Source organism: Homo sapiens, chromosome 5 (genome assembly GCF_000001405.40).
Source record: "Homo sapiens chromosome 5, GRCh38.p14 Primary Assembly".
Lineage (NCBI taxonomy): Eukaryota > Metazoa > Chordata > Mammalia > Primates > Hominidae > Homo > Homo sapiens.
The window spans coordinates 90835768-90862321 of NC_000005.10; the positions used below are offsets into that span (position 1 = coordinate 90835768).

Below are 26554 nucleotides of genomic sequence, written 5' to 3' on the forward strand. Positions count from 1 at the left end.
ACAAGTGAAGAGGAAATTAAGATATTCCCAGATGAAGGAAAAACTAAGAATTTGTTGCACACAGACCTACCCTGAAAGAATGGCTAAAGAAAGATCTTTAAACAGAAAGGGAATGATAAAAAGGAAAGAACTTTGGAACATCAGGAAGGAAGAAAGAACACAATAAACAAAAGTAGATTTCACCAGAAAGGATGTACAGATGAAGAATAAGCATATAAAATGATGTTCAACACCATTAGCTATTAGCAAAATGAAACCACAGTGGGATATCACTAGATGCCTACCAGAATGGCTAAAATAAAATCCATGACAATACCAAATGCTGGTGAGAATTCACAGAGACTGGATCACTTATTCATTGCTGATGGGATGCAAAATGGTAAGCCACTCTGGAAAACAGTTTAGAAGTTTCTTCAAGAATTAAACATGAACTACCTTATGACTCAGGAGTTGCAGTCCTGGACATTTATTCCTGATAAATGAAAACTTATGTTCACACAAAAACTTGCACATGAACATTTATAGTAGCTTATTAATAATAGCCCCAAAGTAGAAACAATTCAGGTGTCCTTCAATGGGTGAATAGTTAAACTGTGGTATATCCATGTATGGAACACTCCTCACTAATAATAAGAAACATACTATTGATACACATAACAACCTAATCTCCATATAATCATACTAAGTAAAAAAAAAAGCTGATACCAAAAGATTATGTACTGTATGATTCCATTTCTATAATATTATTGAAATTACAAAATTATAGGAATGGAAAAGAAATTGGTGGTTGCCAGAGATTAAGGAGGGAATGGGCTGGGGTGACACGAGTGTAGCTGTAGAAGTTAACATGCAGAATTCTTATGGGGATGAAAATGTTCTGTCTCTTGACTGTATCAATAACAAAATCCTGGTTGTAATATTATATTACAGTCATGCAAAATGTTACTAATGAAGGAGTTTGGGTAAAGGGTGTAGGAAATCTCCTTTATTATTTCTTATAACTGCATGTAAATCTGCAATTATGTCAGAATAAAAGTTTAAACAATTGGAAATGACAGTTTCACCTCTCTGGTATTATTTTATTTTCCTGTTGCTTAATTGCCCTTGTGTTGTTCTCTAAGTGCTAGGCATATTACTAGAAGACAGAGACATACAATTCTCTTTTCCAGTAGCTGGCATGAATGAGAAAATAATTATGGATCAAGTTGTTATTCTGTTATGATATTGATTTTCATTTTACTTTAAATAGATTAATGCAATTAAAACAGTCATTGTAACATAGATACCCTTTGGTAGACCAGCATTCCCATGTACGTAAGTACTGTAGCCTTAGCATCTGTGGCTTATATCTAAGTTTGTGATATAAAGTTAAGAAGGAATTTCTGGTCCTTCCTATTTGAGACAATAAAGACATCTATTATTCTAGTTATCTTTCAGTTAAATAGACCTATAGCTAAAAACAAATTTGAAACTGATTCCAAATACTTTCTTTTATATATGTGTGCTAGCTGAAAGCACACAAGTTCAAGAAAGACCATGTGTTTTCCTTATTTTCACGTTGCCTATTCCATTCAAAGACTATTTCTATATTGATTTTCTTTTTTTTTTTCTTTTTTTTTTTGAGATGGAGTCTTGCCCTGTCGCCCTGGCTGGAGTGCAATGGTGCGATCTTGGCTCACTGCAACCTCTGCCTCCTGGGTTCAAGCTATTCTCCCGGCTCAGTCTCTCGAGTAACTGCGATTACAGGCACCCACCATCATGACCGGCTAGTTTTTGTATTTTTATAGAGGTGACATTTCACCATGTTGGCCAGGCTGGTCTTGAGCTCCTGACCTCAAGTGATCCACCTGCCTTGGCCTCCCCATTGTCACTTTTAAATTGCATAATTCTTCTTTGTGTTTATTATATGTATTTTATAAACACAAGAACATTTTGATTGTTTCATTTCCTTTAAATATTTGAACTATGAAATAAATCCTGCGAAAAAACAGTGGGCCAAATGTATACATACAGTTTTTAGTAATCAAATCACTACCACCTTGTTTCAGAAATTTAACTTTATCTGAATTTTAGTATAAAACTTTCCATTATGAACCCCTCTGATGCCATCTTGCTTTTTCCTTGACTATCCCCACCTTGCAGATAATTTATATCTTGAATTTTATGTTAAATTATTCATATTCTTTTTAAGTAGTTCTATTCTTATATATTATTTGGGTTTACCTGTTTTGGAAATTGTGCAAATGAAATTAATCCAATTGTATTGTTCTATGGTCCCTGTTTTGTTCAATCATATGTCTGTGAACTATCCATGCTGATGTGTGTACTTGAAATCCTTTCATTTTAACTGTTATATAGTATTTCAGGGAATATTTTAATGTATCCATTCTAAAGCCATTAGATTTTTGAGTTATTTCCTTCAGTAAGGCTTTTTATTTTATCGTTACACTGCAGATGCTCTTAAAAAGCATTCATTGATTTTTTTTTTCATTTTTTGACACAATCAATCACTTCCTCCTTCCTGAAGAATGCTCTTCTTTGGGCTTTTGTAATAACACACCTTCCTGCTCTTAATCCTTACCTCACTTGGAGCTCCTTCCTGTTGGCTATGTTGGTCTTCCTAGCCAGTAAATGTTGGGATCCACCAAGAATCAATCTCCAGGCTAGACTATATAGAACTGTTTATTAAATATCATCTGTACACTGAGGACTTCCACATTTTTATCACTAACCTCATCACCTCTCCTGATCCAGACCCATGTATCTGATTGCTCTTACGTGATGTCGTCACTTGAATGTCTAAGAGGCATCTCAGACTTACTATGTATAACAGATAACTCTTGATTTGTCCCTTAACAATATTTTCCCCAGTTTTCCACCATTCATTATCCATTTACCCATTCATCTAGGCAAGCAGCTAGGAGTTACCTTCACTTCTCCTCTTCCTTCCACCCAATATCAAATTCATCAGAAAGTTCTATTGACTCTAAGCTGAGCGTAGTGGTGCAAGCCTGTAGTCCCAGATACTTAGGAGAATCTCTTAAGCCCAGGAGTTGGATACCAGCCTTGTTGATATAGCGAGACCCTCATCTCGAAAAAAAACCCAAAATGAAACAAACAAAAAAGTCCTATTGACTCTACATTTAAATATATTTCTAGTCTGAGTGCTTCTACTCATGTGTATTTCTAGTCTGAGTATTTCTATTCATGTGACCCTATTTATTCTACCACTGTTTCTTGCATGAACGAATGCAAAAACCTCCATGCTCATTCCCTACTATATCCTAATATACACAATAGCCAGAACACTCATGAATAATGATAAATAAAATGTGTCATTCTCTTGCTTGAATCCTCTAGGGTCTTCCTGCCACATTTTGAATAATGAACCTACATGCCTACATGATCTGACTCCTATCTACCTCTCTGTTTTTTGTTTTTGTTTTTTGTTTTGTTTTTTGTTTTGAGATGGAGTCTCACTCTATTGCCCAGGCTGGAGTGCAGTGGCATAATCTCAGCTCACTGCAACGTCTGCCTCCCGGATTCAAGCGATTCTCCTGCCGCAGCGTCCCCAGTAGTTGGAATTACAGGTGCTTGCCACCATGCCCGGCTAATTTTTTGTATTTTTAGTAGAGATGGGGTTTCACCGTGTTAGCCAGGATGGTCTTGATCTCCTGACCTTGTGATCCACCCACCTCAGCCTCCCAAAGTGCTGGGTTTACAGGTGTGAGTCACCACACCCAGCCTCCACCTCTCTTACAGCAGCATCCAGCACTCTCCTTCTAGTCACATTGGCCTTAGGTTCTTCCTTGAACAGACTAAGATGGTTCCCATCTCCAGTGCCTTTGTAATTATTCTTTCTGCCTAGAATATTTCCCAAGATCCTTATGTAGCCTATTCATTTATTTCCTTGCAGTCTCTGTTCAAATATCACAAGAGCTTCTATGTCCAGTTTTATATAAAATGCTACCCTTTCCATCACCGTGCATTCCCTTACCTACTTTTATTTTTCTTCATAGAACTTGTCTTCAGGTAAAAATCTATCATTAATTCCACAACCCTTGTACAACCTGTATCCTCTGCTAGAATAGTAGGTTCTATGAGTGCAGGTATTCTGCTGTTCAAATCTATATCCATTGTATGTCACTTGGCTTGTACTAGGAGTTTAATAGTTCTTGGCTCAGTAGTAAATAAATGCACATTCCTTTGATTCTTCCTTGACTAAAGTGTTCATGCTTCACGTTCCAAAACACTTTTTCCAAGAAAACTTTTCAATAACCATAATTTGAAGAAGAGCAGAGGTATATATGTCCAGGACCCTACTCCTTAGGATATTTCCATATTTGAGTGTAAACATGAAACCAATTTCTTCTACTTCTGCTTTCCTCCCCTCTGCCTTCTCTCTACTCTCCCCAGCCTGCCCCCCAAAATTTCTATGTGACAGTGAAAATATAAATATTCCTCCTTTTCCTGCATACTTATATTTTACCACATGTGTTATTTGAAGCACGATTTTCAATCACAATTGGAGAAATGGAGGCAAGAGTGACATTTCTGGTCTAATTTGCTTCCTTGGTCCATTTGAAGGCATCTCTTTCCTAATCTCATCACTGTATGTTATGTATTTATCTCTCTAATTTATCTTAGCAGATTATGAAAAGTATAAAACCCCATCTTTAGGTAGTACTGTCATCATCATTGCCCTTCAGTTTGTTTAAGAGAAATTGAATTTGTTTAAGAAACAAGAATTTGTTTAGGACAAGATCAGAGGTGTCATAGATTCACTTAAATGGTGTTGTTTAATTTCTAGGAGTTGAGGAGTGCTGAAACAATTGGTCGTACCATCATATCTCCAGCTATTTCTGGAAAGGATTTTGTGATAACTGAAGGCACATTGGTCTTTGAACCTGGCCAGAGAAGCACTGTATTGGATGTCATCCTAACGCCAGAGACAGGATCTTTAAATTCATTTCCTAAACGCTTCCAGATTGTCCTTTTTGACCCAAAAGGTGGTGCCAGAATTGATAAAGTGTATGGGACTGCCAACATCACTCTTGTCTCAGATGCAGATTCGCAGGCCATTTGGGGGCTTGCAGATCAGCTACATCAGCCTGTGAATGATGATATTCTCAACAGAGTGCTCCATACCATCAGCATGAAAGTGGCCACAGAAAACACAGATGAACAACTCAGTGCCATGATGCATTTAATAGAAAAGGTAAGTTTTTGTGAATATTAGTAATTTGTTTAGTGAAATTTTGTAAATTTAAAAACCCAAGTAAAACCAAAATCACATTCTCTTTTAACATTGGTTATTATGAAATTATGATAAATTTAGATTTCTGAACATAGGAATAGAATGCATCATATCTGACACTGTCCTCTTCCTTGGATATGACTGATGCCTCTTTGGAAATCTCAGTCTTAGGCTTGGAGAATGACCTAGTGCAGTAGTAAAGACAGCCTAGTGCATGAAAAAAAAGGCTCCAGAGGTTGGGAGCTATAGGCAGTTGGCGACTCTCCAGAAACTGGCCAATTAACTTTGTAGTTTGAGCCTCAGTTTTTTTAGTCCATTAAGAAAAAGGACTTGAGCTAGATTATCTACATAGTCCTTCCAGTTTAAATGCCATGGAATAGAAATTATCACCCTCTGCTTGTTCTTTAGTCCTCACGGGCACTGAAAACTTTCACAGAAAAGAAAAATTAAGAAATGACTAGATAATTTCAGACATTCCATTTGGTATATACTTGTACAAAACAGATTTTATTTTAAACCTATTTACTTACAACTCTGCAAATGATGGAATTAAATGGAGATGTGAGAGCCTAAGAATATAAATTTTGAAAGATATCTATAAAGTTATTACTTAAAAAAAAAGCCTCCTTTGGAGGTTTACTTTGGGCTTTCTTATCAAGATATTTCCTATCAATATATTTATATACAAGAACTGAATGTTTTGAGTACATACCCATGAATGTATAATTACTACATCTCTTACATAATGACCTTAAAATACTTTAGATGTTAACAATGGGGTTTTAGATAGTCGTGCATACTTTCCATCCAGTGGTATCTCTTAAAATACAATGCTTGAAAGATAGAAAAGAAAATTATAAAGTACAGAGGTAAAAAGAGCAGGCCATGGCAAACATCTTATAAAGCAAAGGGAAGCGATTGCTATTTCATGCAGAGAAAATTCTGCAGTAAAAACTCACTCCACAAAATATTATTACTTGAATTTTCTAATGGCCCAATGGCGTAGGACAATGCCAAGTTGTTTTTGGCCAGGGAAAGAGAAAGAATGTCCAGTAATTACATTTTAGGGAAGGAAACAGGACCTCACTTCATATGATTTAGGGAAAATATATGGAAATTCTGCTACTTTTTGTTCTCAATAAGTTATGTATGTTAACCAAGTTATTATTGGTTAAGAATCAACACTTATTTCAGTAGAGTTGTCAGATAGTACATCTTGACTGTTACTAGTACTATCGTGAATAATACAATGGAATTATAAAAGTAGCTCCTATGGGAAAATGTAATTAACTTTTTTTGAGTAACCATTAGCAAACAGTACAATTTTCTCATATATGAAGATACTTAAATAAATAACCTGGGAATACTTGGAGGGATAAAATATATTTTAAATGTTATAAAAATATTGTAATATTGTAAAATATTGCCTGTAATCCCAGCGGAGGCGGGATTGGGAGGCGGAGGCAGGCAGATCACTTGAGGTCAGGAGTTCAAGACCACCGTGGCCAACATGTGAAACCCTGTCTCTACTAAAAATACAAAAATTAGCCGGGCATGGTGGCACATGCCTGTAGTCCCAGCTATTTGGGAGGCTGAGGCAGGAGAATCGCTTGAACCCAGGAGGTGGAGGTTGCAGTGAGCCGAGATGGTGCCACTGCTCTCCAGCCTGGGCAACAGAGCAAGACTCCATCTCAAAAAAAAAAATTGTAAAATCAAGTAGAAAACATCATTTGAATTCTTAAAAGAAAATGACTAGTATTTTATTTCAGCCAAAGCCTTCTTTGCTCTGGTTATTTTCAAATCAAGTTATTGTCACTACTTTTTTAAAAATAGTATGATATAATGTACTCTCAAATTCCTTTTTTATATGTACATCAATACTGAAATCTGTTGATTTAACTGACTTATTTAATAATTATAGAAATATATATTACATATGTACATACAGAAAATATATAAAGAAAACAAAAATTCTACTAACATAGACTTCAGTAAATGGAAATTCATACCTTGTTCTGCAATAAGAAGATTCAATATATGGACACAACAGTTTTCTGTAAATTAACCTATAAATGAATCGTAATTCCTATCAATATATCATTAGGTTGTTTTGGGGTTATTTTTACATTGATAAAATGATACTAAAGTTTACCTGGAAATGTAAACATGTGAAAATGGGCAGAACTTTCCTGAAAAAGAAGAAAAAAGGAGAGGGACCTTGCCCTAGCAGATATGAAAACATATTTGAAATATGGTGTTACTGTGATTAAAGGGGCACCGGTGCAGACATAAACATTCACATCAATGGAATAGAACAAAAAGTTCAAAAACTGAAGCATAGATGAAAATTTTATATGTGATAAAGTGCTATTTAAAAATCAATGGGTCGAAAATATTATTCAGCAAATAGTGTTGGATGGCTGATGTAACCATTTGAAAGCAAAATAGAGCTGAACCTTATCCTAAATTCTACCCCCAATAAATTCTAGACAGATCAAATATTTCAGTGAAAAACTGAAACCATGAAAGTAGCAGAAAACGTGGATCAGTCATTTCATCGTTTTAGTTTAGAATGGGGAAGATCTTTCCAAAGCCTCAGACAAAACCCAGAAGCCACAAAGGAAATGACTGATAACTTGACCACATACAGTTTAAATAAAATTTCTCTTAGCATACACCAAAGCAAAGTGAAAACACAACTAATGAGTGTGGGGAACATTTTTGCAAATACACGTGTGATGAGAATGTTTATTTCAGCATTACTTCTTATAACGATAAAAACTGGGAAAAACGATAGCCATTATGAGGGGCCTGACTAAATGAATGCATGAAATGTATTTAAAAGTGCAAGAAATACATATTTTATATTTTAAGCATAGCAATAATAATGAGAATAATAAAACAAGAACTGAAAATTTGGATTATCACATAAAGATAAGGTGGCAAAATTTACCAAATAAAAAGAAGGAATGCTCAGTTAAGTTTGAATTTCAGATAAACCACAAATACATTTTTTAGTATAAGCATATTGCAGATACTTATTTGGGACATATTTATACCAAAAAGTTATTGTTGCCTGTCTAAAATTCAAATAAGGTCATTTGTACTTTACCTGGCAAACCATTTATATATGCCATATGAAATTATATACACTCTAAAATAACCTCATATTAAAAAGGACAGAATAGAACTTCCAAGTACTGGAAGGTACTTCATTCTGTAAGATATTATATTTTAAGTGAAATTGTTTTACATTTTTAAATTTTATTTTCCCCCACATTCTAAGTTCTTTGAAACAAAATCTATTATATACAATGTATTTCTTTTAAAAGATCTCAATAAATCTTAAGTAATATTATTACACATGCTAGAAGTGGCACAAGTATTATACTAAAAAAGAGCATCAGCTTTAAATGCCTCACTATAAAGACTTTCTGTATGAAATCCAGCTGTGGGTTCAGGCAAATTTTTGCTATGACAGAATATTCTATCCCCTGATTTTCCCAGGCATAGTGAAATAAAAAATATTTTAAAAGCTCTTAGTCGTCTTAATAGCAAGAGCAGTCTAAAACCCCCCTGAATCTGATATGCTAACTTTCAATTTCGTCAGGTTTTGATTTTGTCGTTATCAAAGCTTGGCAAAGCCCATCAGGAGGTGTTGACTCTAATTTTTTGTTCTGAAACACTTGAAAGAGCACAGGAATAATTAGTTCTGTAAAAGTTTGATAGACTATCCCCTACCTCCAAAGGCCTCCGTCTTTGTCTTCTATCCTGACAACTTCTTAAGTTTTTTCCATGGTTGATTCAGGTCTTCTACTTGTTCGTAAGGCAATTTTAATAATGTTGGGAGTTCTTTTGTTGTTTGTGTAAACTGGCCTTGTGGAGCCAGCCTGTTTCTTTTCATCATATACTTTTTAATAACAGATACCTTATATTTCAAGAATTAGTTTTTACACTTGATTTATTTTGTAATCATACTAACAAGGATTTTGAGTTAACTCTGTATTTTACTGGCTGGTTTTGTATTTCATGCTCGAGGTAATTTTGACTGACTTGTCTGTGAACTGAGTCAGTCCAGGTGGTTGCTTTGGCACAAGCAAGTGGGGAGTGTTGCCAGGCAGTGTAGGGCGGCTGTCAGGAGCACCTCCTAGGCTTCGTGGTCACCAACTGTGTGCGAACACAATTGTGCGCAAACAAAAAGAACAAGTTAGTCATCCTCCTTCTGCCTTAGTTTCCCTAACTGGAAACAAAGACAATAGGACCTTCCTCACAGGTTGTTGTGAAGAGTAGTTGCTAGAAAGTGCTGAAAACTACAAGGTCCCTGTACTAACTGAGTATTATAGAAATGGCCTTTTTGTTTCAGTTTTGTGTGCTTTACTAAAAGAAACTTTGTTTTTTTTTAATATGAATGAAAGTGTGGGTAGCCATAGAATGCCTGGATCACAGCCTTTAATTCTTACAATTCTGAACATATTGCTTGGCTGGCTTCTGACATTTCATTTTTAGAAAAGTCGGAAGTTAAACTAAATTTTTGTTTTTCTGTTGGTAATTTTTTTCCTGTCTGGTTTCTGGTATGATTTTTTTTTTACTCTTGAAATAATATTTTTTAAAATCACCCAAATATATCTGGTGTTGTCTCTTTTTCTAATTTTCCCTAGTATAAAAGCAATCTCTACATTTTTAGACATGAATATTCTTCAGCATTTTAAGGAGCTGTGTTATTTTTTGCCTCTGCCTGCTCTTTTATATATAGAATTATATCTTAGGGATTTGTCAAGATTTGTCCTACTAGCCTGTTATCTTTTCTCTGAGTTCTGGGAGATTTTCTTGAGCTTGTTTCCATTTATCATATTCAGTTTGCTTGTTTCAGTATCCAGTGGTTGTGCTCTGTCTCCATTTGTAATTTTTGCATTGCTAAATTTTTATTCTGTGTCTTTTACATTTCCCTGTGGGTTATTCTCCACTCTGCCTTACTATGTGGGAGATGACTATTCTTATAAATGCCAATCTTGAGCTCTACCATGAGCTTGGAACTGTACTAGATTACAAAGTCATAAAAAAATGAGGAACATGATCCACTTTCACGATGAGCTTGAAACAGATAAATCATTTCAAGGTTGTCATAAGTTCACTGATAAAGTTACATGTAAGTTACAAAGAGAGTGATAATGTAGGTTGGTAGATGGGGCATAGTGTAAGAATCATAGAGCTTGAAACAGATAAATCATTTCAAGGTTGTCATAAGTTCACTGATAAAGTTACATGCAAGTTACAAAGAGAGTGATAATGTAGGTTGGTAGATGGGGCATAGTGTAAGAATCATAGAGAAAGTGATGACTTTTAGAGTTTGAGGAAGTAATAGGGACTTATCAGAAGGTAATGGAGTAAGTGGCTTCACACCAATGCTTAAACGATAAAGATGTGGTCCTGTGTCCGGAATTGGTGGGTTCTTGGTCTCACTGACTTCAAGAATGAAGCCGTGGACCCTCGCAGTGAGTGTTACAGTTCTTAAAGGCGGCGTGTCTGGAGTTTGTTCCTTCTGAGGTTCGGATGTGTTCAGAGTTTCTTCCTTCTGGTGAGTTTGTGGTCTTGCGGGCTCAGGAGTGAAGCTGCAGACCTTCGCAGTGAGTGTTACAGCTCGTAAAGGCAGTGTGGACCCAAAGAGTGAGCAGTAGCAAGATTTATTGCAAAGAGCGGAAGAATAAAGCTTCCATAGTGTGCAAGGGGACCCGAGCAGGTTGCCACTGCTGGCTCAGGCAGCCTGCTTTTATTCTCTTATCTGGCCCCACCCACATCCTGCTGATTGGTCCGTTTTACAGAGAGCCGATTGGTCTGTTTTACAGAGCGCTGATTGGTCCATTTTGACAGGGTGCTGACTGGTGCATTTATAATCCCTGAGCTAGACACAAAAGTTCTCCATGTCCCCACTAGATTAGCTAGATACAGAGTGTCAATTGGTGTATTTACAAACCCTGAGCTAGACACAGAGTGCTGATTGGTGCACTTACAAACCTTGAGCTAGATACAGAGTGCTGATTCATGCCTTCACAATCCCTTAGCTAGACATAAAGGTTCTCCAAGCCCCCACCAGATTAACTAGATACAGAGTGCCAATTGGTGCATTCACAAACCCTGAGCTAGACACAGGGTGCTGATTGGTGTGTTTACAAACCTTGAGCTAGATACAGAGTGCTGATTGGTGTATTTACAATCCCTTAGCTAGACATAAAGATCTCCAAGTCCCCACCAGATTAACTAGATACAGAGTGCCTATTGGTGCATTCACAAACCCTGAGCTAGACACAGGGTGCTGATTGGTGTGTTTATAAACCTTGAGCTAGATACAGAGTGCCGATTGGTGTATTTACAATCCCTTAGCTAGACATATTCTCCAAGTCCCCACCAGACTCAGGAGCCCAGCTGGCTTCACCCAGTGGATCCCGCACCAGGGCTGCAGGTGGAGCTGCCTGCCAGTCCTGCGCTGTGTGCCCACACTCCTCAGCCCTTGGGCGGTTGATGGGACTGGGTGCCCTGGAGCAGGGGGAGGTGCTTGTCAGGGAGGCTTGGGCTGCTCAGGAGCCCACGGTGGTGGGGGGAGGCTCAGGCATGGTGGGCTGCAGGTCCCGAGCCCTGCCCCGCAGGGAGGCAGCTAAGGCCCGGCAAGAAGTCGAGCACGGCAGCTGCTGGCCAAGGTGCTAAGCCCCTCACTGCCCGGGGCTGGCAGGGCTGGCTGGCCGCTGAATGCGGGGCCCACTGAGCCCACGCCCACCCGGAACTCGCGCTGGCCCTGGTTCCCGCCCTGGTTCCCGCCTCTCCCTCCACACCTCCCTGCAAGCTGAGGGAGCCGGTTCCCGCCTCGGCCAGCCCAGAAAGGGGCTCCCACAGTGCAGCGGTGGGCTGAAGGGCTCCTCAAGCGCGGCCAGAGTGGGCACCAAGGCCGAGGAGGCACCGAGAGTGAGCGAGGGCTGTGAGGGCTGCCAGCACGCTGTCACCTCTCAGTCCCCCGTCATTTTGGATTTTTCCTCCTTTTTTCCCCTGTCTCTCAAAAAAACAAATAACCCAGTTTTTTTTTAGTAGGAAGGGTCATACTTACTGAAAAAGGCAAAAGCTCTTGACTAATCTTGAAAAGGATTTTCTCATTTGGTGCTTTAAATATTTAGTGATTATGGTAGCTTCTGTTTACTGGAAAAAAATAATTTTGCCACTATTATAAACAAATATTCTTGAGGTATTTATTTCCTTATTTGTTGGTCAAAAGAATAAGAATCCCTAGGGTAGATGTAAAAGTGAGACTAATTTTAACTCATGATGTTAATTATTGTAGTTAAAATTAAATAATCTGTGCAGGCATTTAGGACTTTATCTAATGATTAAGTAGAAAATATTTTGGTGATTATGCCTTTTCTTTATAGATGATTACTTATGCCTTTTCAACTGCAAATATATATATTTGAAATATAATTTTGATACCAATTTCTCTTAAGTTTTCATAGGTTTATCCTTACTAATGTTAATAACTATTAATAAGGAACACACACACATATATGTATAGCATATAATTTAAGAAATTTATTTTTATAGATATATTTTTATACTTAGATTCTTTTTCCAGATAACTACTGAAGGAAAAATTCAAGCTTTCAGTGTTGCCAGCCGAACTCTTTTCTATGAGATTCTTTGTTCTCTTATTAACCCAAAGCGCAAGGACACTAGGGGATTCAGTCACTTTGCTGAAGTGACTGAGAATTTTGCCTTTTCTCTGCTGACTAATGTTACTTGCGGCTCTCCTGGTGAAAAGTAAGTATCTTTTAATATATTAGCAGTACCTTTTATGCATTTTTTTCACTGTTTACAAAGCAATATGTAATGCAAAATGACATTTAGATGATGTAACTAAGAATGATACAGTCAATGCATTGTACCACTTGGAAAGTTGAAGTTAATTATTTGAAGGAAACATAGCAGGTACATCAAAAAAATAAATGTATACTGTCAACAATATATTCCACTTATTTTGAAGTGTTTTTTGAAAATAACAAAAGCCTTACTGTTTACTCTTATTTATTTAATGAGTGAAAGATACATTCTGAATAGAAAAAAAAAGAGAGATTACAGCCTTTAGGAGTGTTTTGATGTGTTATTAATTGTGCTTTCCCCAATCACAAACAACTGTGATTGTTCTGTCCATTTGGAGACAACTCTCAGACTGTTGTTGAACTTCAGACTAGTTGTCGGAAAGCTAGCAAGAGGAAAAGGAAAAAATAAAATGTGGCTCATGTTCATTATTAACTACATAATTAATTTTATAACTATATGTTAACATACCTCTATGCTATAGGTACTATACTAATTACCTCTATATTAACTATATATATATTTTTTTAGATGGAGTTTCGCTCTTGTCGCCCAGGCTGGAGTGCAATGGCGGGGTCTCGGCTCACTTCAACCTCCGCCTCCTAGGCTTGGGTGATTCTCTCACCTCAACCTCCCTAATAGCTGGGACCAGAGGCGTGCACCACCACACCTGGCTTATTTTTGTATTTTTTGTAGAGATAGAATTTCACCATGTTGCTCAGGCTGGTCTTGAACTCCTGGGCTCAAGCGATCCACCTGTCTTGGCTTCCCAAAATGCTGGGATTACAAGCGTGAGCCACTGTGCCCAGCCCAATGTTAGTTCCTAGGTCACAAGACATACGAAGTTCAAAGAGATAGTCAATCCAGATAGAAAAAAGTTATAAGAACAAGGAATAAAATAATAATGATACAAATGATATTAATTATACCTCTGCTATAGTCCTGACATTGATTTAAATTGAACAATATCGATTGCCTTTGTTAATAGGTAAAAACAGTATAATGAAATTTCCATGTGGTTCAACCTAATCCTTGCTAAAAGTTGTACATATTGTTTTGTCCTTACAGAGATCATTTTAAGTAGCTATTCAGGATTTGAGTGAGGGCTTTTAATACCCCTATTTACAGATGTAGACACTAAGGCTAGAAATCTTACACAGCTTGCCAAGGGTCACACAATTAGTTCATGGAGAGGCCTGGACTCAACCCCAGACTTACTTGAGTCTACAGCCCCTGCTGGACACCTGTGGTCAGAATAGATTGTAACCACCTACTTCATAGCAAAATCTGCCCCCTCCAGCCCATGGCTCTGAAGTGCCCTATACTTTCATCCCAGATCAGTGCTAGGGTGTGACTTGAGGTAAAGGTACAGAATCAACATATCCCTATACTCTACTTTTCCTTTAATTTTGATGAGTGAGTCCTGGAAATTGAGGTTTTTTCTTAATGTGCAAAATCAGAAAAGCCTCACATGGGGCTTTTGAAAGGATTCTCCAATCCTCACCACTGCTCCTAAATGTCCATCTGAGACCAATGATTAACAGTTCAGCTCCTTAGTGCCTCTTATAAATGTCTCTAATGCTGTCTTCAGAAACCTCTGAAATGGATCATTTATTTGCTTCAAGTAAGTTTGCACTAAGTGAGGCCACAGTATGCATTTGTGTGTGTGTGTAGTCAAGAATACCTGTTATTGTTTTCCCCTGTTGAACTATGTTCAACTATTTTGTTCAATGAAATCAAGCAGTTCATAGCTTTGCAATCCCCACAATCTCATTCTTCTTTTCCATTTTCCCTATATCTCTATAAGATCACCAGCATGTTAAAATCACAAGGTTGTCTTAGATGTGAACCATCTACCTTGCTGTGCATGTTGAGTCCCATATCTATGCCTTCAAGGGCCCAGTGAAAACTCAAGAGCTTATAAGATGCACAGAAAGAGTGGCCTTTTCTGTTTTGTTTTGTTGAATGCTGTATTCACTGGGCCTAGAACAATGTCTGGTATGTGGTGGATTTTCAATGGTTACAATAAAATGAGGGAGTAGAATGAGTAAATGAATCAACATGTTTTCTGCCATACGCTTCCACTAAATAGACTTACCTTTCCTTTTGAGTTGTCCAGGAAGAGGAAACAGCATGTACAATGGCAGTCAGGCAAGAATTAGCATGGTATGTTTGGGGAGCTCATCAGTTTTTTAAAGATTGAACATGGAGTAAGCTAGGTAGGGTGTGTGTGTGTGTGTGTGTGTGTGTGTGTGTGAGAGAGAGAGAGAGAGAGAGAGAGAGAGAGAGAATGAATCTGACTTTGGATTTTAGAGACATTATGTTGAGAAGAGTGTTAAAGGTTAGAGAATAGGGCAAATAAAGAAATAGGAAAACCACATAGGGGATTACTGTTCAGGTAAAAGAAAATGAGGACTGAAATTAAGGCAGGGACATGGGAGGGTGGTACCTTGAAAACAATTAGGTGGTAGAATTAATATGAAGATGACAAATTGAACACAGAAAATAAGAGAGAGATCAAGACTAGTTTGTTTACTCAGGAAGCCCTAAAGATGCTGAACATTCTGATATGCATTATTTATACATTGTCTTGAGCAATATTAAGGGAGTCTGCTGAGAGTTAAGCATTTGGGGAGTGAGCAAGGATATTGAGGAGAATGACGGAATCTAGAACAATCACTTGGAAGCCAAGTAAAAATAATGCCAGGTGGCACTGAGGGTCCAACTGAGGTTGGTCACTGTGAATTTGCGGTGGTGCCAATCTACATGTCAATGTGGGAGTTTTCCCCCTCATATCAACTTAGGTATAAAGCAGACTGTGGGATTGATCAAGGTGAATGCATTTGAGGGACATAGGTGTCATAGGATAAGGTATCAGGGAAATTATGGTTATCAGCAAATAGAAGGTGTCAGGAATTTGTTATGCTTGCATCAAGCTTAGGAAGAGTCACTGCATGTGGTGATGTTCTTAGTTTGACAAGATAACAGAGTCCCTGACTGGACTGAGTCTCAGTAGATGACAAAGGGTGGGAGGGGAAAAGGGATGTGGAGTCATGTGTTTGAGGTTCACTGGTCTCTTCCACATTGTATCTGGTCAGGGTGTCTGCAGTGACACCTTTTAGGCTGAGAGTCACCATTGAAGATGTGGTGACTTCAGATTAAAAGATGAGATTTTGACAAGCTATGGTGGAGGTGGAGGTATGTGAGGTCCACACAAATTGAGGTGTTTCAATAGGAGACATGGACAAAGGACCTAGAGCCCCAGGTGAATAAGTGGATTCAATTCAGGTATTTGAAGGCACCAATTCAAATAGGGTAGCTGAGGTTACAGAGGAGATTTTTTGTAGAGAGGATGTACCACTACAGGAAAAAGTTGGCCCTTACTCTTTCTTTTCCTGACTCAGTTTAAAATTCTCTGCTCCATTTCCTACGTCTGGGGTCTTGACAAGATATCATGTAAATCTACGACGTAGTTGTACATACTCTACATCTATTGTGACATATATAACTTTTAACATTTAATGCATAAATCTTATCCCAACATTCTAATATTCTCTCAACTTTTCCAGGCAGGTTTAAGATCTGATTTATCTGTGTGTCTCCTGATTGTTTGCAAACATGATGGGTCAGCCAACAGGATGCATCTGATTCTCTGGGGGACTGGTTACAAATATAAATTCCTAGAACCCCTAATCCCCTCCTTCAGTAGGGATTCTGATTTAGTAAATCTGTGATGTAATCTAGAAATCTGTACTTTAAAGCAAACTTCCAAGTAATTTCAATGCACACTGAGGTTTAGAAGCAATTTCACTGAGCCCAGGCTCTTATTATGCCTAGTAGATCTTCAAAACAGACTTGTTAAGTGAAAAAAGATCACTGTTCAGTGCTGTTTCTCTTATCAGTCAAATAAGATTATATTAGGCAGGCTCTGGTGGATTAGAAAGGCATGAGGTAAACTCTTGTTGAAAACATGGGCCTGGATATATAAGGTTTATGATGTTCTTAAATAAAGTGAAGGGCTTTAGCTCAGTGGGGGGACATGCTTTTCTCAACCTATTCCAGCAATGCTGATGTGACTAACATAGAAAAGCACACTTTTAAAGCCACAGATTTCATCTTTATGGCCACAGATTTCATCTTGATATCCATAAAACAGTTTTCAAAAACCCATGTTTTAGGTTACTAGGAGGATCAAGCAAGAGGATGCAGAAAATTCTGTGCAAAAAATCATGACAATTATCCACAAAAGAACTGAAGGCACATTCTATTTACTGCTTCTGGGTTTGTTGTGTTATTGTTATACATGAAGAATAGAATCCAAGTGTAATGCACTTTAACAAATATAAGTGGATATATGTATTCAAATACATGCCATTTTTACAGACCCTTTGCTTTTCTGTTGTAGAAGCAAAACCATCCTTGATAGTTGCCCATATTTGTCAATATTGGCTCTTCACTGGTATCCTCAGCAAATCAATGGACACAAGTTTGAAGGAAAGGAAGGAGATTACATTCGAATTCCAGAGAGGCTACTGGATGTCCAGGATGCAGAAATAATGGCTGGGAAAAGTACATGTAAATTAGTCCAGTTTACAGAGTATAGCAGCCAACAGTGGTTTATAAGTGGAAACAATCTTCCTACCCTAAAAAATAAGGTAATCTTTCATTCAAAACACTTATGTGGTTGGAATCTGATTTATTTCTTTAGCAGGCACACTTGGAATGCATTTGTTTGATCACAGTTTTGGTAAGTGCTACACATGGTGAACTACTATGAAATGTGTTCCATCTTTATGAACTATTTGTAGAAAGTTTAGTTTCTAAATGAGTTGGAAATATATCCTTCATGTTTTGAGTAAAATACATATTATATATGTGGGGAAAGTAAAAAATATATAGCTTTAACTAATATACTATTACGTACTTAACTTTTAATGAAGTCATCCAGTTAGAGTCAAAGTGAGTGTTGTCAGCTGAAGACTGCTGAATGGCTAAGGCGGGGTAGAAAGGGCACAATGGAAAACCAATCAGATGTCCTGCATGCATAAGTGAGCTAAATACTAACAGTGAAAGAAAACAAATGACTGTAGCTACTAGAAAAATGAAGTCAAGTTCAGGGTAAGAGACTCAGTCATTACACCAATTGTAAAACATCATTATATGTTCTGTTTTTAACATTCTAGGTATTATCTTTGAGTGTGAAAGGTCAGAGTTCACAACTCCTGACTAATGACAATGAGGTTCTCTACAGGATTTATGCTGCTGAGCCTAGAATTATTCCTCAGACATCTCTGTGTCTCCTTTGGAATCAGGCTGCTGCAAGGTACTTATTAATAAAATAAAAAAATCAGAATTTGGTCCTTCCCCATTTCGGTACCACTGAGCCTAATGTTTTGTACTGAGCATAGATGGTGGCCCCAGATGACATTAGACTGGAAAATAACCTCCACAATAAATAAGAGGAAGCAGCATAGGAAATGGTCTAGTATTGTTCTGATGGCAAATGCAGCCCAGCATTTCAATATGTGTGTAACACATTATTTACTTCTTCATTTTTACTACTTTCACGGGATGTGGCATGAATTCTGCTCAATTCTGATAACCTTGAAGTTACTAGTAAATTTATTGGGCAGGAAAGAAATTCCTTCTTTTACCCTTTCCATCTGGGCTTGTGGTTCTGGAAACTGATGCCTTGTGTTTAAGAAGAATCAGCAGGAATTTATAATTCTAGTCCACATGGCTTGAAGTACATTTTGAGATTAAATCCATGGACACAAATGGGAAGGAAAGAATGATTCTTTTTTTGAATCTCCTCGGCCTCAGGCCTCAAATTTCTGAGCAGTTACAGTCACTAGGAGCTCAGTCAATGCTGCAGGATCAGGCAGTGCTGGCCTAGAAGGGTCTAGGGTTCCTGTCAGCCACTTGATTTTGTTTATTACTGAATTTCAGCCACACAAACTAAAATTCTAAATAGGTTTAATACAATAGCTTAGTTTGGTAACCAACTTTCCTCAAAAACACTGAAATTTCTGCTTTCTTTCTCTTAAAAAAATTCCACTTGAAATTTCTTCCTAGGTTTAAAACAAATCTTAAACCTAATAAATAGAAATACTCTGAAATCTTCAATATATAATTAATAATGAATGTTTCAAGCTGCATCTGGAGTTTGGGTAAGGAAGTTTTAGGTCCTTAAAAAAGTAAAGAAATTAAGAGGCATTTTAAGGGAAGAGGCTCAAGTGATAGTCACTGAGGAAGGCTCAGAAGGCTTGGCATCAGATACAATGTTTGCTAAAATTATGACATGGTTTTTCTGCTAAATTAGCCAGAATTCATAAAGGAAACACTTTTAAGAACCTTAGAAAACATACACATAAGTCACTCCAAAGTAGAAAAAAATTGAGGAAGAAATCTTAGATAACCATACAAGTAATTTATATGGTTCAAAATACAAGGACTTGTGGAAGAAAAAAAACAAAGAAGAGTAAACACATATCACAGCCATGTTGTTCTTGTGTGAGTTTTGAATGGTAGAGAAGAGTGCCTTCTATTGAGCATGTCGGGTAGGTTTGCTAGATTAGGTAGGAATTTGTACTGCCCTGTTGAGAGGACAAGCTCCTTTGGTACCAGGAATGCCTTCAAAGCTTTGGTTGGTATTTAGGCTGCTTCTTAAGACATCCTGTGGAATCTGTCATGTCATGTCCTGGACAAGATGTTCCCTTCACTGTTTCTTCTTGAAAATGTGGTCTACTTAAGTCTTGAGCAAAGAACACTTAATTTCAGTAAGCTATTTTTCTTTAAAAGCCATCTCAACACCTTCAGTATTGATGAAAGAGGAAAAATGACTATTGTGTTTTTGCCCTAGCTGGTTGTCTGACAGTCAGTTTTGCAAAGTGGTTGAGGAAACTGCAGACTATGTGGAATGTGCCTGTTCACACATGTCTGTGTATGCTGTCTATGCTCGGACTGACAACTTGTCTTCATACAATGAAGCCTTCTTCACTTCTGGATTTATATGTATCTCAGGTCAGTGACAGTATTTTTGAATCAATGGTTATAAATATTTATGAAAATGAAAGTCTGTTTTCCCATAATCCTTTTACGTATGCAAGATGCAAACATACCGTAATTCATCAGCACTAGAAGAATACAAATTTTTCGTTGTCTTAGTCATTAATTCATTCAACAAATATTTATGGAGGGCCATCTCTGTACTGAGGATACAGTAAAGAATGAGACAGTTTCACCCCATAAAGAATATGTAATACAGTGTAGGATAGAAGCTAGATAATAGGTAAGGAAAGGCTATAGTTTACAGTACCATGGTTTAGAGGGCAGGTACTGCAGTTACAATGTGAGGACTATGTGAGATATTAAATAATACATACAAAGAATTTTCAAAAAAATACATGCAAAGAATTTTGTGCTTTTATTGTTTTTAAAGCTACCTCATGGGTAGATTTTGTATTCTACAACTTAAGAGTTGTGAATATGCCAACCACTGTGTTAAAAAATAAATCATCTTTCACATTCCACATCTAGGCCTCATATTTGGCAGTAAGAAGAAATTAAATTGTATTAATGTCTGTCAAACTATTTACCCAACAACATAACAATAGAAGTATTATTATTTGCTGTATTAATTATATGGTCGGGCATCTGAGAATTCCTTAAACTATAATTCTATACCCCACCCTCACCCATTCTGTGCCCTGATTCTCTTCTTTCAGCCCCACAACTTTTTCTATGAACAAGGTGCTATACAGTGAATTAAATTAAGAGCTGGGCATAGGGTAATGGTTAAAAAATGCAAACTTTGGAGCCAGACTGCTTGGGTTCAAATCCTAATTATGCTGTTAGCTAGTTGTGGGACCTGGATCAAATTACTTAGTTTCTCTGTACTTCATTTTTCCCACCCATGATATTTGATTATAAATTGTGTCTATGTAACAGGGTGATAAATATATGAAGTCAGACATTTCTAACATTCTGCTTTAGTGATATTTTGTCTGTAAATGTGATTATTATTGAATGCATATCTCTTGTATTTGGTATGCAAACAGTCTCTCTAATAGTCATTATCTTTTAGGAAGTTTATCTGGAGATAGAATCAAGTAATTAATTACTATTTGTTCTGGTTGCCAGTCTTTCCAATATAACTTTATTTTATATAGTTATAAATTTTCTTTAATGTATTTTAATTCTGAACCTAACTTCAATTCAATAGCAAGATAATAACTTCTTATTCTTAATATCTTTCATAAAGGATGACATTTCTTATTTAATAGAATCTTCTAGGTCCACATAGTTCCAAAATCAGATGGAGACATCCTATTTTACTTTTATGCTAATGTATTTAAAGAGCAAAGAAATTTTATAGAATGATGAAATAAAATCAAAAGATATAATGTTGAAATACAATCTAGATGTCATTTTACATGTTTCCATAGAGGCATAGGTTTATGTGCTGCTATGACCCACAAAATCCCTTGCTTGTTCCCAAAGACTGAATATAAAAAAAAAAAGGAGTTTTAAAAACTAAAGAGAGAATGTTATCCTGATTTTATAGAAAACTAGTAGGACTGAATATAATGAGTTTCCTGGAGAATCATTAATAAATACCTGTATATCTTTTCTGCAACTTACTCTAGAAAAGGCTACATGGATTTGCTCATGTATTTGAGAATCAACACCTAAATGTTAGTATCTGCTTTTATCACTTTTGACTTGGAGTCATATTTGAAATTATTTTATTCTCTCTGTCCATGTCATATTGTTATGTAATTGCATGTTCTGTCGATAAGGAGACACAAAGTCTTGTCTTTGTACCTCAGTTTCAGCTCATCCCTCAGGGCTGGATGAATTCCCATCCCTCTGATGGATCCCCAGGAACCAGAAAAGAGAATTTTATATATCTTACATACATATTCTTTATATATCTTATATACATATTCTATAATTTAGGTCAAGACACATTGAATATCACTCTGAACTTGATAGAACTTGGCTAGTACTTTTCCTGAAATACGGCAGTATACAATTAGACAGGAATTTAACCTTTTTTTAAAAAAACAGAGTAGATCACAATGTATCGGTACCAATTCTAGTTTGCAGTTCTATTTACTATACTAGAGCAGAACTACCCAAATGATCAAAGTGTGTCAAATAGTTGTAGAGGCCAAAAAGCTTACCACTTCTCAGCTTAGAAAGATGAAAGAAAAGGGCATATACCTGTGACTTAAAATTGTAAACTAGTTTGCCAACTATCAGAAAATTAAACTAAGATCATTCCTTGAGGTTAAAATGAAAGGACAAATCATCCATTGCTGTGGGCATTAGAGTGCAGCATTATGGAACTCAACACAAAGATGGCTTGGGAGAAATATAACAAAATAATTACATAATAAAGCCATAATTTTGTAGTATAATTATTAAGAAACTTCAGCATGGTTTGAGATACACATTGCTATTTTGAGGATGTCAAGGAAGCCTACTCTGCCTTCCCATAACTCTTTTGATATTGTACTATCAAAGATAAGGCTATTGGTTATGCTACTGCATTGAGTTTGACTCTGAATACAAGTCTTATAGTCTTGTAATCTTTTTTTTTTGAGACAGAGCACCACCACACTTGGCAAATTTTTGTATTTTTTATAGAGATAGGGTTTTGCCATGCTGCCCAGGCTGGTCTCAAACTCCTGGACTCAAGCGATCTTTCCACCTCACCCTCCCAAAGTGCTGGGATTACAAATGTGAACCACCATGCCTGGCCAATATGGACATATTATTTGGGATGAATTTGGCTACAAGTAACAGATGATGACTCAAAGATATCTTAAACAAATATATTTAGTTCCCAGATTAACTAATTCAGTGCCTTAATGGTGTTGTCAGCAGCCCAGGCTCTTCTCTTTTTATCCTCAAGGATTTTTTTCCCTCAGCTTTGTTTGTACATGGTCTTAAGTTGGCTCTAGCAACTCTAAGCATCACACTAGCAATGTCCAGGCTTGCCAGGGGGAAAGCTCTTGAGTCCAGTTTTAACAGCAGTGAGAACTTTCTAAAAAGCCACCCAAAATGTTTTCCCTTGTGTCTTTTTGATCAGAATTATATTCTGTGTGCTTTCATAACTAGTCTGTGTCTTGGAGAAGATCCAGATAGAAATACAGAGAGACAAGCACTGAAAGAGCAGCAAGGATTTATCTTTCCGAACATTGCCCAGCAGTCCCTGACATATACTAGTTCATTGGTTGTTTTGTAGAGATGGTGGGAGTGAGGCAAGTGGGCGCAGGAGTTCCTACTATATTGCTCAGGCTGGTCTCTAAAACTTCTGGCCTCAAGCGATCCTCCTGCCTGAATCTCCTAAAGTGCTTGAGTTACAGCTGTGAGTCACCACACCAGCCTGACATACAGTAGGTTTTAATAGATATTGGTTAAGTAAATAAATACACAGTATTGATCTGATGATATCCTCCAATAATGAGATGTATTTTTGCTATGTGTCAAGTTCATACTTTCAAGTGCCATACCATATTTTTCTAGCCATTTTTAATAAAAATTATTTTATTTATTTATTTTGAGATGGTGTCTCTCTCTGTCGCCCAGGCTGGAGTGCAGTGGTGTGATCTCGGCTCATTGCAACTTCCGCCTTCTGGGCTCAAGCGAGTCTCCTGCCTCAGCCTCCTGGGTAGCTGGGATTACAGGCACCGTGCCGGGATAATTTAAAAAATTATTTTAAAATGTGGCATATTCTTTCTTGCCTTCACTTAGGATAGTTTAACACAACACTCTCCAATAGAGTTTTCCAGGTTGATGGGGATATTTTACACTGTCTAGTGTGGTAGCCACTAGTCACCAGTGGTGACTGAGCCCTTGAAATATGGCTTATACAAGTGCAAAGATGAATTTTTAAGTCTATTTCATTTTAATTAATGAAAATTTAAATTTAAGGCTGGGTGCTGTGACTCATGCCTTTAATCTCAGCACTTTGGGAGGCCAGGAGTTCGAGACCAGCCTGGGCAACATAGCGAGACCCTGTCTGTACAAAAAGTAAAAAAAAAAAAAAAAAAATTAGCCAAACATGATGGCACATGCTGTAGACCCAGCTACTCAGGTGGCTGAGACAGGAGGATTGCTTGAGCTCAGGAGTTCAAGGCTGCAGTGAGCTATGACCATGCCATTGCACTCCAGCCTGGGAGACTGAGCAAGACCCTGTCTCTTAAAAAATAATAATAATAATAATGAAAATTTAAACTTAAATACCCACATGTGACTAGTGGCTATTATATTGAACAGCGTTAAGTTCAACCACCCTGTTTATCTGGAGGCTAGTCTCCTGGCAACCTCACCACTCTAGAATAACTCCTTTCCCCTAATACACAGAACTTTTATACTGTAAAATGCTTCGTACTGACTTTTGTTCATACTAGAAATCTTTTTTTTTTTGAGACGGAGTTTCGCTCTTGTTGCCCAGGCTGGAGTGCAATGGCACGATCTCAGTTCATTGTAACCTCCACCTCCAGGGTTCAAGCACTTCTCCTGCCTCAGCCTCTCGAGTAGCTGGGATTACAGGTGCCCGCCACCATGCCCGGCTAATATTGTATTTTTGGTAGAGACGGGGTTTTGTGCCTTTAGCTTATTAGTAGCAGTAACCAAAAGGCATTATGCTGAGAAGAGAGTTGCAGAAACATGGGAATCAATAGTGATAAGCAACAAAAAGTACAAAAAGTGACAAGCACAGCAGTTAGGTTGGTGCAAAAGTAATTGCAGTTTTTGAAATTAAAATTAATTAAAATTGTTGCCAAAACCATCATTATTTTTGCACCAATCTAATACATTAGGTGGTATAATAAAAAAAAAAAAGCCTAAGCTAAAAAGCTAATAGTGGATTTAATAATGAAATAATGATAATTTGGTTTTATTTGGATTTATCTGTAGAGAAGGCAGACAGATAAACAAATAATTTGTAAATATTTTAAGGAAAATTTCATGAGAAAACGTACTAATACTTGTCTTGTGAAAGAGTAAACTTAAGTTATTTGGAAAGTATCTCTCATTCTTAAGTGATGCCAAATAATGAAGATGTTTATAAACATATGTAATGTATATATGTAATTTATGTACAAACATTTCATATGTTTATATGTATACAAACTTTCAAATATTGTAGAGATAGATAAGAGAATCTGTAGTCCAGTATGATAATAAAAGACTTTAGCTGTTCTTTACCAATTAGATGTTCTTTTAGAACCGAATCTCTAATCCACATAGTGGTAGGAAAAAAAAGAAAAGGCAAATTACTCAATTAGCTGCTTGTTTTATCTACATCATTGCCAAGAAATCTGTTTTTTAAAAAAACTGTTCAGAGTATACCTTTAAGTAATACCTGGAATTGTGATACTTTATTTTTTAAAATTTTTATTTATTTATCTATTTTTTTTTTGTTTTTGTTTTTGGAGGCAGAGTCTTGCTCTGTCACCCAGGCTGGATTGCAGTGGTGTGATCTTGGCTCACTGCAACCTCCGCCTCCAGGATTCAAGCGATTCTCCTGCCTCAGCCTCCCGGGTAGCTGGGACTACAGGTGCGTGCCACCATGCCCGGCTGATTTTTTGTATTTTTAGTAGAGACAGGGTTTCACCGTGTTAGCCAGGATGGTCTCGATCTCCTGACCTCGTGATCTGCCCACCTTGGCCTCCCAAAGTGCTGGGATTACAGGCCTGAGCCACCATGCCCGGCTATACTTTATTTTTTAAAAAATCATTCTATTTATAGTTATAACACTTTATGCTTTGTAATTTGCATATTTATATTAAGGAATTTCAACCAAAAAGTTTCTGCAATTAAAAAAAGATTTCTAAGTTTAAATAGATGTTAAATATAGCTATTTAATTTCAGATGAAAAAATAAAAGATAAGTATTTAGTATATAGTGTCTTAGAAACCTGATAATTGAAATAATTGTTTCTTTAAATTTTAGGTATTCAATATCCTCACCCAAGCCAGATGAGTTTCCCTAGACTAGGACCCAGCCTGTTTGAGGTTTTATCAATATTATTCTCCCCTACGTAAAAAACGCATCTAGATAACTATGATGCGTTATAGTTATAGGCTGGTAGAATCTCACCTATCTTCCTGCCACTGGCTTTGAATCCTGAACTGCCACCAGGTGTCATGCTAGCATTTTAACTGAAGCCTAATATACTTAATTAAATATTTCTAAGCTGGTCAAATTTAGTATACTAAATGTATATCATGAAACAGGAGTATAATAGAGCATTACTAAGTTAAAGGAAAAGGCTATAAGTAAGCTCTTCTTGTGCACTAGAAAAAAGTTGACTTGTGTATGTCTCCTTGCTGAGCACTAATTCCTTGCCTCACATTGTCATCCTCTACCACAGTCAACTTACAGCAGAGCACATATTTGTGATCATGTGCCTTAAAATGAAAAAAA

General features: G+C 37.0%; 1 protein-coding gene across 12 annotated transcripts in view; it reads left to right on the top strand.

Annotated features, from left to right (window-relative positions):
- ADGRV1 (adhesion G protein-coupled receptor V1) overlaps positions 1 to 26554 on the top strand; it is a 605641-nt gene that overhangs the window by 276971 nt on the left and 302116 nt on the right. For all 12 annotated transcript variants that reach the window (NR_003149.2, XM_017009963.3, XM_017009969.3 and 9 more), the window contains 5 exons: positions 4811 to 5218; positions 12870 to 13054; positions 17517 to 17766; positions 18295 to 18434; positions 19974 to 20134. Coding sequence is in view for 11 of the 12 variants with exons in the window: in XM_017009963.3 (XP_016865452.1) it covers positions 4811 to 5218; positions 12870 to 13054; positions 17517 to 17766; positions 18295 to 18434; positions 19974 to 20134 (1144 nt within the window). In the remaining variant the exon portion in view is untranslated. The remainder of the gene's footprint in view (positions 1 to 4810; positions 5219 to 12869; positions 13055 to 17516; positions 17767 to 18294; positions 18435 to 19973; positions 20135 to 26554) is intronic.